This window comes from Homo sapiens, chromosome 18 (assembly GCF_000001405.40).
Source record: "Homo sapiens chromosome 18, GRCh38.p14 Primary Assembly".
Taxonomy (NCBI): Eukaryota; Metazoa; Chordata; class Mammalia; order Primates; family Hominidae; genus Homo; species Homo sapiens.
The window spans coordinates 56968076-56988065 of NC_000018.10; the positions used below are offsets into that span (position 1 = coordinate 56968076).

Genomic DNA, 19990 nt, shown 5'->3' on the forward strand with positions numbered 1-19990 from the left:
CATTTACTTTCTTCTCATACTTTGGTGAAGGGCTACCAAAAAAAAAAAAGCAATGATGTATAGAGAAAGAAAGTGTAGCTAAAGACTTCTCTATATCAAATTATTAAAATAACTTTACTATTGAAAAGTTTTAAGTTCCTTAAAGAACCTGTTCTTAAAGCTTCCTGTTGTCTAGTGCCTGGTATATAGTAGATGCACAATGCAATGCATGTTGTTCAACTAAAAAACTCTGAGGCTTTAGAATAAAAAAAACTTTAAAAATATAATATGACATGGTAAACCAAAACAAACTGTGCTGTAATTATATCAAATATATTAGTTTGGTTATGGTTATATTTCAGTATTTCAGAATCATGTCATCAAATTGTTGTTTCTGTGTAGAGAGAATAGGATATCTTTTCAGAAAAAGCATAGAAAAACCTTTCTTATGAGTCATAAAAGATCTATCTATATTTCTGTATTAAACCATTACAGGCCTGACATAGGCCAGATAATGAAAGAAATAAAATAGAAGCAAAGATTGATGGTATCTACAGCACTATGGCAACTGTGGTCTAACTCTAATCCCGTATAGAGCAGGAGGTAAATTCTGGAACGTTAACATGTGCCTTGTCACGCAGCCTACAGCACCCCCTCCACCCCACACCTTCTAGCTTCCACCTTTACCGAGCCACTGAAACCACACACATCCTTGGCATGGCTTAATACAACTGACTTCCCTCTCTCTCAAATTCTATCTTCCCTTAACTTCCATAGCATTGTCACCTGCCTTGGTTTGCAACTATCTCATTTACTGGATTTCCTAATCTCTTAGAGGACCTTAATGTTAATTCTTATCACTCTACTGCCCAGGATACAGATTTCTCCTTTCATCTATACTTTTTCCTGACTTTGGCTGAAAATCCACACATTATTATTGATACTGATTATTCTCTGTAAGCAGGTAAGACAAATCAGGTCTCCAGCCAGGGCCCTGCCTAAACTCCAGCTCCATGACTTTTAACAGTCTGCTAGACATTTCCATTTGGATATCTTTTGTCTCAAATTCAATGTGTCAGACAATCTCTCTAGCCCATACTTTCTACCAGCATCCTTTCTAACCTGCCTTTTCCTGTAACTGGCATAATAATATGGCACCACAAGTCATGTTGCCTCTCCTTCACCTGTCCATATCCAGTTACTAAGTTCAGTTAACTTTTCTTTAATGGTATACCTGAAATCTACCTTTTCTCTCTGCTGACAGCCTAAATTAGGCTCTTGGCCTTTCCTCAAGACCTTTGAGATTCTGGTTTTGATCATCATACATAATCTTCTCCTCCTATGAGCTGTTTCATTCAATAACCCCATTCGCTGTCATTCCCTATACTCCTTTCCCAGGTTACACAGGAAGCATTCAGAAATATCTGTTGGATGATTTGTTACAAACACAGTAAGGATTTCAGGAGATGCCTGGTTCCAGTTACATTTATCTTTATATTATATTGAAATGTCTCACCGAGTAAATACAGTTACTCTATACTAATAGGTGAAGCACTCCTGGCAAACAAAAATGCTGAAGACAGTCCACATTAAAATAATGAGTGTTGGCTCTGTGTTTGTTAATGTTTTCATTAATGCTTCTATTGAAATTAATTTTGCCTGCCCTTTGTATTACTTATACCCCTTGTAAGTTACACAGCCCTCTCAGGCTCTTTATTTGTATTCATATTTGTTGCTCAAAATAATTATCTTATTGCTGGTGTTTATAATATGCCATATTTAATATGATCTCTAAATTTAATTACTAGGCTATTTATTTCGTCTTTCTTACTAGAGAAGGCAGTGTGGTTGCGTAGTTAATAGAGTAGATTCTGAAACTGAGCTGCCTGAATTCAAGTCCTTCCTCAGCTTCTTCTTAGTTTTGTGGCTTTGAGCAAGGCACTTAAACTCCTGTACTTCTTTATTCATCTATAAAATGGACATAATAACACTTCTAGCATTGTGTTATAAATATATGTAAAATAAATATCAAAAAATGTTAGCTATCCTAATTATTATTTAACCATCGGTTTAAATAAGATTAAATCAGCTCACCCTATTCTGTTCCCTCCTGCTGCAGGATACACTACTTCATACTGGCTAGATCTGTTGAAATTGCTTTCTTAGGATTTTTTTTGGTTTGTTTTTTTTTTTGCTGTTTTTTTTTTCCCCCAGGACTATTTGAACTAGTAGTAGAATGAATACAACATTCAAGATTATACTTACTGATCTGTCCTCATTCATCTGTGCTTAATAATTGTCACTTTGTCTATCCTGATTTTTTTCCAGCACATTAATCTGTTGTCCTACTGATATTCTGTTCTTCAATATTTAAAAAAATGTATTATAAAATAAATATTGCTTTTAACATTACTGCCATATTAGGCTCCTTCTGAGTCAACTGATTAAAATTTATTTAACATACTTTTTTAGAACAGTTTTAGGTTCACAGCAAAATTCAGCAGAAGGTACAGAGATTTTCCATATACCTCTGCTCCCACGCATGCATAGCCTCACCCATGATCAGCATCCCCTGCGCGAGTGGGATATTTGTTACAACTGATGAACTTATACTGACACATTGTCACCAGGAGTACATTAGGGTTCACTCTCCGTGTTGTGCATTCTATGGGTGTGGGCAAATATATAATGACGTGTATTCACCCATTATTGTATCATCCAGTATAGTTTCACTGCCCTAGAAATCCTTATTTATATAACTTTTATGAATATTTGGTTTTTTAGGGTAAATTCTGGATGAGCACTGCTAAGTGAAAAGATTTGTGCATTTTATTATCAGAATGCTCTGATGCTGTTTCACAAATAGTTTATAAGCAACTGTGAATAATGGAAAGACTTTTGAACTGTGGGTATTCTCATAAAAAATGGAACTCCCAGCTGGGCGCAGTGGCTCGCACCAGTAATCCCAGCACTTTGGGAGGCCAAGGCAGGCGGATCACCTGAGGTCAGGAGTTCGAGACCAGCCTGGCCAATGTGGTGAAACCCCATCTCTACTAAAAATACAAAAATTAGCTGAGCATGGTGATAGGTGCCTGTAATCCCAGCTACTCAGGAGGCTGAGGCAAGAGAATCACTTGAACCTGGGAGGCGGAAGTTGCAGTTTGCAGTGAGCCGAGATCGCACCACTGCACTCCAGCCTGAGCGACAAGAGCGAAATTCTGTCTCCCAAAAAAAAAAAAAAAAAGGAACACCCCCACTATTGGCCTGTTTTGCCTCCTGTATTTGTCATCTTAGACAACAGATTGTTTCTCCATTTATTCATGATTTATTATTCATTTTGTTTATAAAACAAACTTATGATGGCTCTTATGTGCGCCAGACACTGTATTATAGGCAAGAGATCAAAAAGTAAATATGAACTGTTCCTACCCTCAGGGAACATAATTTGGTATAGAAGGCAGATATACATCCATAATTGAAGTGCCGTGCACAACCTTTCAAGGAGGGCAGCCTGGAGTGATAGGGGAGAAAGCAAGAAGAGCACTACCCCAGATTTGTTTAGGGTCTGGGGAGGATTGGTTAGGAAGGGCTTCCTGAAGGAGAGGATATCTGAACTGAGCAATTAACAATTAGGAGTTAGGCAAAGGAGGGGAAGGGCAAGGGACATTATTCCAGGCAGAAGGTATAACATATGCAAAGCCCAGAGAACCAAGAAAACACAGGGAAAGCATGCTTATCAGAAATATCAGAAATGTGTCCCCTGATGTGTGTGAACGGTCCATATTACAGCAATTTTCAAATCAGCATAATATGGGGAATTTCACAAATCTTAAGTGAGAAACAATTATTTCAATAGATAAGCAGAGACATTTCTTATCTGTGATTTATTACATGCTAAATGAGTAATATAGATGTTGTAAACAAAGTTACATAGTATTAGCAAAATATTAAATAACTGAATGCTGACATTTTCTGTTAGCTAAAATTATATTTTGGGGGAAAGGGGACTTAGCAAGGTATGAAAATGTCTTCAGTGTGTGATTTAAAGCATTTAATGAAAATGAGCCAATGTAATCTTCTATGACAGATTTAATTCTGTCAAGCACTCTAAGACACTAGATAGCAAAAGAAAGCTGATATTCAAGTCTAAACAGAAATGTCAGCAAACACACCTATATTAATGGAAGTTTGGAAAGCAATGTGTTCTTCTCTCTAAAAATAACAAAGATTTTACTTCTAGTTAGGAGGAGCAGTGGACCTTAGGGATCTTGTGGACAGTAAGATTGATGTTTGTTTGAGGCAGAATTTTGAGCTTCGGGCACAGTTTTCACTGAGCAGAAGTCTATAACGCTTATACATCAAGGGCACTTATGTGGTGATTGCAAAAATTGCAGTGAGAATTGACTACAGTACTTAGACAGTGACATTTTAGGTATTTTCTTCCTGCTCTTTTCAGCAGCTGGTTTTATGGCAGGTGTTTTCTGTGACATTCTGGAGCAACAACCAGAAATATGGCATCAGGGGTGATCATAAGATGAATGGTTGGAGAAGACAATGGCTTCCTGACACTGCATTGAAGAATTGCCTAACAAGCTACTAGTTTTAAAAGTGAAATGCTATTTAGAGAAAAACTTCTAGGTAGAGAAACAGATATCCAGAACAATGCCTGAAATTAGACCATCATTTATTCTGAAAGTTTAAAATTTTTTAAAGAATAGTTTTAACTGACCGTGTGGAGGAGTATTTCTCTGTTATTTATCCCACCACTCACAAGTACTTCTTGGTTTTTTTTTGTTTTGTTTTGTTTTTTGTGTTTTGTTTTGTTTTTAGACAAAGTCTCACTCTGTCACCCAGGCTGGAATGCAGTCGTGCAATCTCGGCTCACTGCAACCTCTGTTTCCTGGGTTCAAGGGATTCTCCTGCCTCAGCTGCCTATGTAGCTGGGATTACAGGTGTGTGCCGCCATGCCCAGCTAATTTTTCTTTGTATTTTTAGTGGAGACGGGGTTTCACCATGTTGGCCAGGCTGGTCTCAAACTCCTGACCTCAAGTGATCAAGTGATCCGCCTACCTCATCCTACCAAAGTGCTGGGATTACAGGCGCGAGCCACCGCGCCCGGCCATGGGTACTTCTTATATCTGTGTTACACTTTGAATGGCAGTATTCAAGAATTTTGCACCAAGAAAAAATAAATTATATCCTTCGTAATATCTATAATGGGATGAGACAGAGAGTTCTACTGTTTACAAACTGAGCAGTTGTTATAGGCATTTCAACATCCTTGCAAAAGCATTTGATAGGCTAAAATTTATTTTGAGTAAAAATTCACATTATTTTGTATATTTCTTAATGCCATTCTTTCCCATCTAGCCATTCTCTTTTTCTCTTCAACACTAAAAAGATAAATATAAATGCCTAATATATATACATATTGTGTGTGGGGGGGGTGTATTCCACCTATATATAGTCCACAAAATTAGGAAATACTAGATAGAAGAGTCCTAGTACATTGAATTCATTCTGGATTCACTGCCTCGTATTCTTCATATCCACTCTGAGTATATAAAGAATTTAGCACAAGGCCTGGCATCTTGATAGTTATTTGCCAAATATGACTCATGAGTATTCTAAAACATATGTAATGAGGACATGACTCTGTCATTCCTGATAGGTTGTAAAGAGTGCTGATGCTGATTTCAAGGGTTGTGTCAAGATTTGGTAGGTCCTGTCTCAAATGGAACTTCAGATAGACCTCAAGTCTAGTAGAGGAAGAGGCACATACCTGGTACCATTAAAGCTCTGGATCCAGGACCTCAGCCCCAGAAGTCGGTCACTTCATCAAAAATGTTGCTCAAGTGTAGGATCATATAAAATGATGTATGTCCTAAACCATTTCCTTTTAAGTTTTATGAAGATAGTCTTATTTCCCATCTCTTTTATGGTGGGACCAAAGACTCTTGTCTCCATTGTTGGTCCATTGTTGTAGTTCTGGAACATTTTTCTTGCTAAGACATACCATTTTCTGTTTAAGTGCACTGACAAATTAAAGATACTTATAAAGCATTCTCAGAGTATAATTCTAGATTTTTGTGTTTTTTCCCATCTTTTACAGTTATCTCACACCTAATTTCATGTGTGTACATATGTTTTTTAAAAGCCCTATTTCCACTCTTATTGTATGAATTATATATCCTATGTAACCTGACTGCATTGCCAAGCACAACTAGCATTAGCACATCTTGCCTTGTCTTGTCCTTTCCCTTTTCCTTTCCTTTTCCTTTTCCTTTTCCTTTCTTTGCTTTTCTTGCTTTTTTTTTTTTTTTTTTTGAGATGGGAGTCTCACTTTGTTGCCCAAGCTGGAGTGCAGTGGCTGTTCACAGGCATGATCATAGTGCACTACAGCCCTGAACTCCTGGACTCAAGTGATCCTCCCAAGTAGCTGGTACTACAGGTACACACTACCGTTATTCAGCTTTGGTTAACTCTAGGTCATAGAGCTTAACTAGTTAGAGCAATAGTGAGTGGAATTATCAGAGAGTAGCCTCCCGACCACGGGCATTGCTCATGTGCTAGGCACCAGTTAGGATATGTGACAGAGGGAATAGGAGTCTTGGTTAACCCCACGAGTCAGTAAAGTGAAAGTCAATTAAGAGAGATTGTGTTATCATACCTTCAGCATATGATATCTAGAAGTATTGACATGGCACTATGAAATGCAAAAGGGAACGACTACCTGGGTGGGCAAGGTATTTACAATCTGGCAGGAAAGACAAAGATGAAACAAATAAGTACAATAAAGCTTTTCAGTGCTCCAGTAGAATGTGACAGTCTGCAGAGGAGGACAGGCTGAATCCTGTGGAGGGGAGAAGAACAGGAAAAGGTTCATCAGAAGGGTGATGTTTGGACTGGGTGTGGTGGCTCACACCTGTAATCCCAGCACTTTGGGAGGCTGAGGCGGGTGGATCACGGGGTCAGGAGTTCGAGACCACCCTGGCTAACATGGTGAAACCCCGTATCTACTAAAAATACAAAAATTAGCCGGGTGTGGTGGCGGGCGTCTAATCCCAGCTACTCAGGAGGCAGAGGCAGGAGAATCGCTTGAACCTGGGAGGCAGAGGTTGTAGTGAGCTGAGATCACGCCACTGCACTCCAGCCTAGGCGACAGAGCAAGACTCCGTCTCGGGGGTAGTGGGGCAAAGGGATATTTGAGTTGATCCCTGAGTAGGTGTTCTGTGGGCAGACATGGGAGAAGAAAACTTTTCTGGGAGAGGATGAAGCATCAGCAGAAGCACAGAGAATCATTTAGCTGATGGTACATTCCAGGGACTGTAAGGTTTTTGTTTTTGTTATGCCTGAAGCAAAGGTTGCAAAGGAGTGTGAAAGTGTGATAGAGGAGGAGGTGGACAAGCCTAATGGTTAGGAGGAATGAGATTCTGGAAAGCCTCCCCTGGACAGATTGCTTTATAGTTTGGAGTGTCATGAGTCAGCAGTGACAAACACCAATGCCTGCAGAGATGAAGAAGGTGGCATAAATTAATAAAAGATCAGCCCTCTTTTTTTATGTTTTTCCATTTTTGATAGTACCATCCCAGAAATATTTTTCTTTTTAATTCTACCGTCTGTAAAACAACAGGTAAAGCCTTGAACAAAATGCCAAGTGATATTTTGCTTCAGTATTGGAATTGAGAGGAGTGGAGACTGTGGCACACCGGAGGGCACATGCTGTATGGAGAGGAATCAGATGTGCCTCAGATCCCATCACTTGGTGCCAGGTGAAAGGGTGGACCTAGTGTTGCCTGGTCTTCAGATTTTTCAAGATAAGCTGAACATCTGGATTTTTATTTTAAAATCTCCCAATTTTTAATTGTTAGTGACTGACTTCAGAAGTTGAGTGCATAAATTAATACTCTGCTGAATGCCTGGCGTTACTTTCAGAGAAACCACTTGAAGAGTTTGAAGCAGGAAAGCAACAAAATCAGACCTTCAATTTTGGAAGGTCGGTGTGCTGTCCACACCGTTGAGGTTGAATTGAAGAAGGTTTGCTCCTGGAGGCTTTGGAAATGATCCCAGCACAGTCGATCAGGGCTTCATTGACATCACTGGTGGCTGGGTGAAGAAAAAGAGTAAGAATCATGACAAATAGCAAGCAGATTTTGATCAACCTTAAAATACAGCATGTTAAATATATACATTAAGTAAAAATAGAAATTGATACTATAATGCAGAAGCAAAAGCTGTATTTTCTGAGAATAGTGAGAAAAAGGATGTGCTACAGACTGATAGGAAAGACTGACATGAGACAACGGAAAGATTTAGTTTAGGTATGGGCAGGAATTTTTAAAAGAAAAGAATTATAGAATTGTTAGAAAGATTTAATAATTAGGGCATTTCATCTGCAAAGTAATAGTCATAAAAAGGCTTTAAATTAATTTATTATTTCACACAACAAAGCATCCAGAGGTAGGTAGTATGGTGAGCAACTCAGTGGTGTTCTCAGAAACCCGAGTCTATCAGGAGACTCTGTTTTGCTTATTCGGCATCTCAGCCTCTTTGGCAGGACCACCTCAGGGTACAACATGGCTGCCACCAAGCCAGCAACCTATGCAGAGGATACCATCCTGAGGCAGAAAGGGGAACTTTAAAACAAATACACCCGTTAAGAAAACCCCTTTCTCTTGTCTTGTTGACCAAAATCATATCACTTACCCATTTAAAAACCTGTTGCTGGAATGAAAATGGAACTATCATGATTGACTGAGATTCATTCCTGAGAGAAAAGAGGGCCTCACCCTTCCCTGAGCACAAGGGGTGGGCCCAAGGAAGGCAACCAACATTTGCCTTCTCAAGAAAACTTGCTGACATCTGCCATGGAGTACTCTGAGACAAGTCAACAGGAAAATAACAGTTGATGGCAGAGGCTTTGGAATAGATCTGGGTTTGGGTAGCTGCCCTTTCACTTACTGTCCTTGAGACCCAGAACAAGTGACTTGTTCTCTTTAAAGCAGCTTCTTTGCCTGTAAAATAGGAATAATTTTAGATCCTCTTGAAGATTAATCAAGCCAATGTATGTAAGATATTTAGATTCATGACTGTTACATTTTAACTACTCAATAAATCGTGGTGGTGGGTTGATTCATAATCATCTTTAAAGGGCAGTCCAGTTAATTTGAAAGAGAATTGTTGGCTTGGTCTAAGAACAAAACGCTTGCCAATAGGAAACATGTTAAAAGTAACTAGACATTAATAGTAAAGTTACTTTAAAAGTTTCAGCTGTCCCCTTTATTCTTACTGAAACTGTGAGCTGGGATGGAAGAGTGCAGGATAAGCCTTGGAAGATTCGGCTCTGATCCATTCTGGCATCCTGAATAGAGGCCAAGGCCCGCTTCCCCATGGCTTCATTGCACTGAGAGGAAAGGCTGGCCTTGCAAACCTTAGTGTCCCACATCCCTCCCAGCTCAGCTGATCTGTGTTCCTGCTTTAGAGTGAGCTGTTAAGCAGCTTGTAGACAAAGTAGGTGCTTAGAAATAATTTGCATTCATTGCTTTGAATGTTTACTTAAGTAATTCTGCTCCTGCTTTAAAGTATCATCTTAATCTAGAATATTCATTAATGCAGAGAAAGGTATTAAAAACGTAGTTTACTTTTGAAGGAATGACAGGAGCAAGAAAACATTTATATAATGAAAACATTATATAAGAAGGGATATAAGAAAACATCTACATAAGTAAAATGCTTCTATCTCATATATACTGAGAGTGGCCCTTTATAGTAGTAAGAAAACCAGCTGCCTAAAGCCTCCTGAGTCTCTGGGTGAAAGTCCCAGCAATATGGCATTGTTACTGTGTTGCTGTAATTTATGTAAATGCGTTGTCAGAGATGAATTAAAACTTATAGTTGTAAATCTACAAGGACACAGCAGTAACTCACACAGATTTATTACTTGTAGACACGTATATAAGCCTCTGGAATTACTGCCTCTACTGTAGACAGAGGTTAAAGAAGAAGGCAACAACTTACATGCCATTATACCTATACAGCAGTTTGTCATTCATTGGTAGTGGTATGAATGCAAAATACAGGCATGTGGACTGTCCTTCACCCAATACAGCCTAATCCACAAATTTCAACAAGAATGCTAGCATCAAAGAAAGAGCATCAAATGAGGAGTCAGAAAATTTGCTTGTATACCCATTTACTAAGTTTGTTGTTTAACTTCTCTGAGCCCAAGTTTATTAGGGATAAGACAATTTTTTAAAAAACCTGTCAATGTCCCCCAATGTACTCTGCATGGCTTTTAGTGGTAACCATGCATGCATTCATTGATTTAAGAAACATTTATTGAGTGCTACTATATATCAGACACAAGACTGTATTTTTAGGCTAAAGGAAATAGTTTCGTCCAACATCCTTATTTTTGCAAAAAGAGTGTGAGAAGAGAAAGGTGAGATGCCTTCTAGAAGTAGGTATGTGAAAGGGCTTTTGAAAATTGCAAAGCCCAGTCAAGGGAAAATAATCATTAATTGTAATACAAACCCAGTATTTCCTTTATCTGATGATGTATGTGTGTTTAGTTCTCCATGGATGTTTCCATCTGTCTAGGAGTTCCTTTTATGTAAATTCACTGGGCATTGCCATTTAGCATTGTTCTTTCCAAACCAGGTGACATATCAGAATCATGTAGGAAATTTCAAAATAGACTCCTCCTTCCTCAGACGTCCTGAGGTCTTTAATTCAGAATCTTTAATGCAGGGACACAGGTATCTACGTTTCTATAGCATGCCCGCATGTAATTCTAAGGCAGGCTGGATTTGGAAACTCTGAGTTTACGGAATAAAATAACATACTGTATGAGGAACAAATAATGTGTGAATTAATATTTCAGTCCCCAAGGCCTATAAAATCAAATAATTTAAAAATAAGGAAAAATCATTTGCTTGAGATCTAGAATCACATAGGCTGAAATGGAACTTTAAGATGAGTGGAATTTGATTTTTTTATTATTATTGAAAAGGCAATGTAGCAACAGCCTTGAAGAAAGGTTTACAGGGGGAAAACCTATGATATTGCCGCAAACAATGATTTTTGCCTATATATGGGTTATTAATATGTATAAGTATAGATATTTGCAGTCTATATACTCCTATATTTGCTTTGAAATATTACCTAAAATCATAACATTTTAGTTAATAGGGTTTTAGTTATTCCTTTCTACCCATAAATTTCTCTCACTGTCCTGAGCTTAGTTAGGGCTAGGATCCCTAGATTTCTGTGTTATATTTGAGAATTTTCCTGTGACATTATGCTAAACCACCCAGCCAGAATTTTAAGTCCCTACTGTTGAAGACACATACAGCCTCCTTTTCTCTCAACCAGTGCCCTTTTTGATGTCTTTTCAGTTCTTCAAATTACAACAGGAGGGAGCCTCTATCTGATAAAATCGCTAATAGAAAATGTGCTTAAGGAAGTCACCAATATCTTGTTAACCCTTTGTAGCTTTGCTCCGAACAGGGACATTTTCTCCAATTACTCAGATCAACACAGAATTCAGGATGCCCCTATCTCTGGATCTCTGTCACAATTTGGTAGACTGTCTTCTTTTGCTGCAGTATCCATCAAATAATTTCTAAATTTAACAAATAGTATTTACCACCTACTAGCTACTAGGCTAGTGCTACACACTATTGAAGTAATATATTTCTATTTAATTATTATGAGGCATTATTACTAATGCCTCCTCTATGGAGATAATTAGAAGAACACTTTTAGCTGCCTTACTTTTCCAAGTGGTAAATCCAGTGAAATTACCAAGATATTAGCCATTTCTATACGTTGGGAAAATACTAAGCATTTAGTTTGTTACTATATCCTTCATGATATACTAAAAGTAATTATGCACCACGGTTTTATGGTAAAGCAACCAGAGACTTCCTTAACCAGCAGCCATAGCCTTTTTTCTGCCAAAGCCACAGGCCATTCTGAGCTCTCCTCTAAGTGTCCTCTACCCACAATGGCAATTACACATGCTCCAGAGCAAAAGTAGGGACTCAGGTTAGGCTCTACCAGAGAGCTCTTTTCTGGCTTTAGGTCATGATGAGACATAGAGGAGGTTCAGGTTGGTTCCTGGGTGCTCCCATTTTAGAGACTTAGATTGTTTGGGAATTCTGAGCTATCCTCTTTCCCTCAGCCATATTTTTAATACAAAGGGGCTTCTTAGAACAGCCCCTGCAGAGGGACTGTTGATCCCCATCCACAAGCTGTGGCTAGCACCCCCAGATTGCATTTGCATACCAGACGCTCTGGCAGTGGTGTGGAGCCGTGTGTAGAAGCCCAAGACATATGGAGTGTGATTTTACAAGGCTGAGCTCGTTCATCCACTCATTCATTTAACACATGTTAGTGAGTAGGTGTGTGTGCTGGGTTCTATGTCAGGCAGTGATGTAGAATGGTTAGCAAGACAGGTAGTGCTGACTACCTTCATGGAGCTTGCAGGCTAAAGGAGTTAATAAGCAAATAATTAAAGAAACACATTATTACATTTTGCGATAAATACTATGAAGAAAAGTATAAAGTGTGGTGAAAAAGTATGCAACAGGGAGAACTAAAAGGATGATGTCCAACCTTTGTAAGAAAGTGACATCTAACTCAAAGCTATGTGTAATGAGTAAGGGTTATGGAGACATCAAGTGGATGGGAGAGAAGAGCATGTGCAAAGGCCCTGAGGTGAGGAAGATCTTAGGGTCCTTGAGGAACTGAATGGAGTGAATGGGAGGAAAGGGAACCTGACACAAGACAGACAGATGGGCCACAGCCAGCTCACCAGAGGCCCTCGCCAGTCAGGATGAGGAATTTTGATATTATCCTCAGTGCAGTGAGAAATCATGAAGGGTTCTGAGCAAGTTACATTATCTGATCTACCCTTTTATAAAGATCATTTTTGCTGCTGTGTGGGGAATGGATTCAGCAAGACAAAAGTAGAAATGGGGAGACTAGTTTCAGGCTATTCCAGAAGTACTCCAGGTTAGAGATGAGAGTAGCCTTGACCGTTATGAAGACAGTGAAAATTGGGAGAAATGAACCAATTTAAGATAAAGCCTAAAGGTAAAATTGACTGAACTTGTGATGACTTTGGTATGGTAATTAAGAGAGAATGAAGTTTTGAGGATAATTCACAGTTTTTGGCATGAGGAGCTGAATAGATGGGAAACATTGGAAGAGGAGCAATTTGTGGAATAAAGAGTAGAAGAAAATTAATAGTTCAGTTTTTGATGTTAGCTCTGAGATACCTAACAAGTATTCAGCTATATACATGTGGAGATGCCAAGTATTTAGCTATATGCATGGCTCTGGAGCACAGACATGTCTGTGCTCGACATAAAAATTTAGATATCATTGGCTTGTTGATGTATTTAGAGCTATGGCAACAGATAAATGTAGAGTGAGAAGAAAATAGGGCTGGGACAAAGCCCTGAAAAACTTCAGTGTTTAGAGATAAGATGGAGAGATGCATCTGGCAACAATGGGAGAGTGGATGGTTTGAAGGCATGAGAAAAGTCAGAATGTGGTGGTGCCATAGATACTCAAAGAGGAGTGTCTCATGGAAGAAATGCTGCCAAAAGGTCAAGTAAGATAAAAATTATGAGAAGTCCATCAGATTTGGCAACAGAAGGTCACTGGTGACTTTACAAAAGCAAGCTCTGTGCAGTAGTGAGGTAAAGGCCTGGCAGCAGTGGACTAAGTAGGAAGGCAGGCCAGTTGAGACCTGCTTAGCTTGAAAAGTAAGAGAAGAGATAGAAGAGAGTTTTGCTTTTTAAGATGTCTGTTGTTACATGTGCTGTAGGATATTTCACTACTACAGGAGAACAACTGACCCATGGTTTACCAAGGTAAAACCCTCAGTGATAGGGAAGGGTTTAACAAGAGATGTGAAAGATATGATTTTGGATATGCCATGAAAAAAATACTCCGCACATTGTATACTGATCAGTGTTAACACTATTATTCTGAACCGTTTTAATATCAATTTAATGTTAACCCCCAAAATCCAAGGGGCATTAAGGTCTGTGCTGATGAAAGTAATGAAGGGACCATTGAGACAAACCTGAAATCCTAGGTTTGTGCCAAAAGCCCGTATCTGACTTTAAATAGGGCCACTTGTCCAGGGGTTTCAAGGACACACATTACTTTAAAATTTGGTGGATTTCAAAGGCACCCAGCTTCTGAATATTCTTAAAAGAAATTATGCTTACAGGATTAATGAGCATATCTGTTTTGCCAAGGAGGGAGCATTATTCGTTTCACAACAAAGGCTTCCTTTTCATATTAGCAAAGGTATCAGAATTGACTCCCACAATTGTTAGAGGCTTTTTCTTCATTTTTGGTGAGGGGTGTAGATTCAGTTTTGGAATTTTCATCAAGGAAAATTTTCGTCAAGGAAATACAAGAAGGCTCATGAGCTTGAGCTATTTTCACATGGTTTAGGCATCTCACTGAAAGAAGAGCTTCTTTTCTAATTTTTCACCTTTTTCCATGAAGCAGATAGAGAGCTGTTTACTACAGCCTTTGTCTGGGTTTGGCATTGATTTTAAATCACCTGGATTGATCATGTGGTTATGGGACTTAAAAAAATCCCACCAAATACCAAAGCCTCTAAACACAATTAGAATTGAGGGGTTTTTAATCTGCTAGCATTATGTCCATAGGAGTACATTCTAAATTATTCTTAACTTCTGCTCATGTTAGGTGAAAATAAAGCACCATGATAATGTGTAGTGTCTGAGGTTCAGCAGATGCTCTCTAAACATGTAGAAATGTTCCTAGTTTTCAAAATGAGGAAGCATCTAAAATCTATGTCTGTCTTGGAGTATTTCACTGCCTTGGCAGTTTCCTCAGCCAATAAGAGAAAAATAGGCAAATCAACCAGCTGTCATGTCACACACTCCTCAGCTGCAGGACAACAGCAGGATTTAGGCAAGCTGATCTCAACCAGATTTGACAAAGAGGTGGAAGGTCTAAAATTAAATAGGTCAACACAAATTATCTAATAATAGGTAGGTGTGAAGGGACAACAAGGGGTCCCAGAGGAGAATTGCTTTTTAAAGACTGTGTATACTCTTGCTTTTCATTTCGGACTTGTCATTGTTAGCAGCATCTGAGTCTGAACCGTCTTATTTGATAATGAAAAGGTTCCTATTTTTTACTAAATACCTTTAGATTGTTAGTAAAAGTGGCGTTTTCATGAAGTAAATATTTACAAAGCTTCAAACTACTTTAAGAAGCCACCTTTCCTATTTTCAAGGCAGTAATTTTTCTGTGGCTTGCTATAGTACTCAGTTTTGTTGTCATGGTGACTAGATAATATAACTTTTCAAAAATGGAAACCTGCTTCTAACTATATTGCACCAGCCTACCAGTCATAAATGTAGAGTCCAGAGTGGACAATTTATACTCAGTTTCTCTCCTAGTTAAAGTCTAGGTTTACTTTATAGACATCATATTTCAATAAACACACACACACACAGAGAGAGAGAGAGAGAGAGAGAGAGAAATAAACTCCCTGTCAGTTTCCTAACAGTAAAACATAACCATCAACAAAGAAATTATTTTTTGATTCATATTCTTACTAGTCAAAAAATGTGTCCCCAGAATAAGTATAATTTTGGAGCATTCTTATGGTAGCATCTTACTAAACAATATAGAACTGTTATCCTCAATAGCTGTAAATAATTGTCAGTGAAAAAGGGAAACAAGATAGTCTCTTATCACTAGAATAAACAGATAATATTCCTTTAAAATACAATTAAAATGCTATAAGGGATCAGTGATTTGTTTCCTAAATTCACTTACATGCCATTTTACACAATTGCAGTTTTTTCTTTTTTCATTTCTTTTAAATATTGTAACAATAGAAACATATTACACTTCTTCCTATGACATATTTGAGGAATGTTTACAGTTATCACAGTCTTGAGCTAGGACACGTCCTAATGCTTAAAGATACTATTTTATCCGTTTGAAAAAAAGAAGAAATTTTAATTGTGAAAAATAAGAAATAAACCTTAAAAATTTTCACTGTCCTATTTTCTTCCAGCACCTTTTCTTCATGTTTCATGAAAGATGGCTTTACATAGTAACTTAGAAATAACACCCAATGATTAACAGAATGATGGATGTGATGAATCACCTTTCTCTTGAGAAATAATAAATCAACATATTCCTACCCATAAATTTTTACTGAAATGTATGAAATATTAGCATCATATATTTAGCAAAGTGTCAGTTACAAAAACTGTTGGCAAAATGTCCTCAGAACCAATAGAATACATTTAAATGTTATGTTCCTTTTTTGGAAACAAAGTTATTCAAATATAATTCACACTTTCTAAAATGTAGCATAGTTTTAGTTCTTATTTACCCTTCTAATGATAAACATGAGCATGATCTGTTTGAGCACTAGCAATACTAGACACCAAAGTTAACAAAGTAAAATCTCCCAAACTGGAATGTTTTACTCACAAAAAAACTTGGTTAAACTTTGATTTTAATATTATAAACTAGAATACTTCATAAGACCATGTTTGCCCTTTTTTATATTTAAGTCATTATGTCTTAATCCCTATTTATGCAGCACTTTTTAAATGAAACCTTCCCCTGGGTTCATTTTTGGGCAGACTTTATATTGAATTGTGTTTGGATTTTTTGGAAGCCTCTTTGAAGGATGAATTTGTGATTGTTAGTTGCACAACCAGTTTCCTTTATTTTCATTTTGGGGGCGGTTTTCCTACAGCAGCCATAGCGTACTGTGGGAAGTGGAGCAGGGCAGTGCCCTTCCCTGGCTGTATTGATTTGCCCTTCAGCTGTGTGCAGTGCCGAGAGAACCTCGGGCCTTGTTGTTGATTATCTACACAATGTCTCTGGGAGCATTATTGACCCATTGCTGCCGACTGCCTGTGGCTCTTGATTTTTCACACCATCTCCATGACACTCATAATAAAACATACTATCTTATTGCTACTCAGCTCTGGGAGCCAACTGATTCAGCCTTAGAACACCACAGTGTTTCTGGAGAACATTTATTGTATGTGGGGTAAAGTGTTGCAGCAATTTTAGGATTCTGTCCTGTGTACTTTTAATAGCTACTTCTATAGCAAGATTCCACACACTGCTAAATTTTTATTGTCTTAAAAAAGCCAGTGCTAGCTTTGCATATATTGTCAACATGAAATTTAGCATGATTAATATAAATATTATACTTTTAAAATAATAGGCTAAGGAAAAGAATATTTTGCATTAACATTAGGCTTGACATGTTGCTATAACATGTATTTTCAAAACCAAATTTTAAAATATATCACAAGGATTATGCTATGATTTGTTACTGTGGTATATATTTGTTATAGTGAATGGGGAGGAGGTGGGGGAAGTTGAAGTTTCTGATTGTATTTGATTAGTATGTTTCTAATTTGCCATTCTCAAAATGTCTTCCAAGATACATTTTAACTTCTCTATATCAAGTACACAAAATCAAGTAAAATCTTTCCTCTTAGTTACCTTGAAATATTTTTTTAATTGAAGCTTTAATCAGTGGAAAATGGGTCTCCTTGAGCATGTATTTTTGTTTTATATTGTTTTATATTGGAGGTTTTATATATTTTATTAATTTTTAATTATTTCTGATATATTTCCTAATCCACAATTAGCATTAACAGGTATTGTACACTAAGTATTGATGGAAATTATAGCATGTCAAAAGGAGCTCAGAGATCCTAAGAAACAGGCTTTTTCTGTTGGTAGAGTGAATAAAATGTACATGTTTCTTAAAGAGAGTTTAAATATTTTCATGTATATTAACTGCTGTTACTATAGGAAAGGCAATATAGCTCAAAAAGGGGCAATTACTCTAAATTTGTGTTGGACATTTTTATAGGAAAGATAGGTCACAAATTAGGTTAATATAATTGGTTGCTTTTTACTGAAGTTGTTTAGAGTGTTTTCATTAGAACAAAATTTTCTTTAACAAACCTACTTTAAATAAATTCAGACTTTGGAAATTATAATAGAGCTAATTTCAGCTTCTTTGTGTGTGTGTGTGTGTGTGTGTGTGTGTGTGTGTGTGTGTGTGTGTGTGTATACATATTCAACTTCATGATTTCCCTGAACTAGGGTCTGTTTCCAAAACATCTACTGTAATACTGATAGCGATATGTTCAATGATTAGTAGCTCACCACTTTAAGATGTTTAAAATTTTGACCATTTATATCAGTGAATTTTGCAATTTAAGAAAAGGATCTTGCTTTTAAACTGTGGTATTATCAAACTACCAACACTTTGACATTTTGAAATGATAATTCCTTTGTTCTGGTTTATGGATTTAGTTTTCATGTTTTATCATACTTTGATAGGTTTTATGTTTGAAGGATACATAGTTTTCTAAATGTATGCTTTTAAAAATGTCAAACCACTATAAAATAAGGATTTTTAAATTAAAGCTTTCAGAAGTGTGGCTTCAGAGGGTGGGGTGGTATATAGTATAGCCTTAGTGGGCTGCCTCTGGATGACAGATCTGTACAGAACCCCAGACAACAAAGTTGTCCCTAATTTTAATCTAGCTGCTTCTCAGCTGATTTACTTTCAGTTTATGTCCACTTGATGTAAACAGAACCCAATGACGGGGGAAAATAAAAAAAAAATAAAAATAAAAGGCATTCCACTTCTCATCCCTCCAAATTAGTGTTGTTCTATTGAATTAAAAAATTGAATCTCCTCATCATTTTTCATGCCAAATTCATGACATTTTAGGACACAGGATGAGAGTAGATGCCATTAAACCCTGTAAGTCTCAAGCAGAGGCCTTTTTTAAAATCAAGGTCCATAGGCTTAGGCAACAGTTCAGTAACCTTTGGGAAAACCACAGGGTGTGTTTTACCTATTGTTATGCAAACATTGTTCTTCCAGAGCTGACCTTTACTCACAGGGATTTAACAGCCATAGTAAGTCAGGGTTTGAATTCCCTGTGTCTGAGTTGCGGATCAAGTTTACAATAACCATGTTCACAATTGTTTTGAGCGCTTCCACCTGATGGTTTTTGATAGCATGAGGTTTGTGTTCCACTTAAGCCTAAGTATTTCAGTGTGTCTTTGGACATTCAGAACCACTTGAAAGTGTACACAAGGATTCCTCTAACTGAGACATAATCATCAGGTATTGCAAAGGTTAAGCCTTATCATCTGTACCAAAAAAAAAAAAAAAAAAAAAAAAAAGGTGAGGTTTCATCAAAAACTTCCATCCTCACAACCTTTCGACCACAATTTGATGATGATTATTGATTATCTCACAGCCTTTCACTCACGCTCTGCCACCGCGGCCAGCCCTGATATACAGATAGGGCTGCAGTCCAGCTAAAATAAGACTCCATCTTGATAATGGACTGAGATGAGGATACTGTTATTTGATAAAGATAATTGATGTTTCACAGTGAATTGGAAAGCAGCTTCAAGTGCACCATATCTGAAGCTATATTTTGTCCACAAATATGGCAGTTGTTTATAAAAATAGAACAAAAGAACTAAAGTTACGTATTTGGGCATAACCTTTTAAAGCATTTTGGTGCTATGATTTTTTTTCTTTTGTGCTTGATTATTTTAAGGTGTAATAGAGAAAAAAATAGTAAAGAGTATATCACGTTATTTTTTGTCTCTGGTTTCAGGTTACTTTGTTAAAATCGTACATGGTGTAGGTGTTATTGATCAGTTCCCTTGCAGACTTAATACTTAAATCCTATGCTTGGATTATGATGAATCACTGTCATGCATAAGCTGGATATCTTAGGTCAAAGTTAAATTTCATGTTATCATTAATTTCTTGAACATTTTACATACTGTGTGAAAACACAATTTAAATTATTAATCATAAATATCATGTCTCCTGGAAAATGTAATTCAAATAATCTGGGAATGCAGACTGGGTTTCTCCTCATTTATTATTAACAAATTTCTCTAAAAATAACATGTAACT

At 37.3% G+C, this 19990-nt stretch overlaps 1 protein-coding gene across 11 annotated transcripts in view, besides 1 other annotated feature; it reads left to right on the forward strand.

Annotated features, from left to right (window-relative positions):
- WDR7 (WD repeat domain 7) overlaps window positions 1-19990 on the forward strand; it is a 385248-nt gene that overhangs the window by 316717 nt on the left and 48541 nt on the right. The gene's annotated exons all lie outside the window — the stretch shown is intronic.
- Window positions 18597-19446: an enhancer, noted in NCBI's record as "OCT4-NANOG-H3K27ac hESC enhancer chr18:54653903-54654752 (GRCh37/hg19 assembly coordinates)". NCBI's record gives its function as "activates a minimal SCP1, AML or CMV promoter by ChIP-STARR-seq in naive H9 embryonic stem cells {active_cell/tissue: H9 hESC(naive)}" and the evidence as "EXISTENCE:reporter gene assay evidence [ECO:0000049][PMID:30033119]".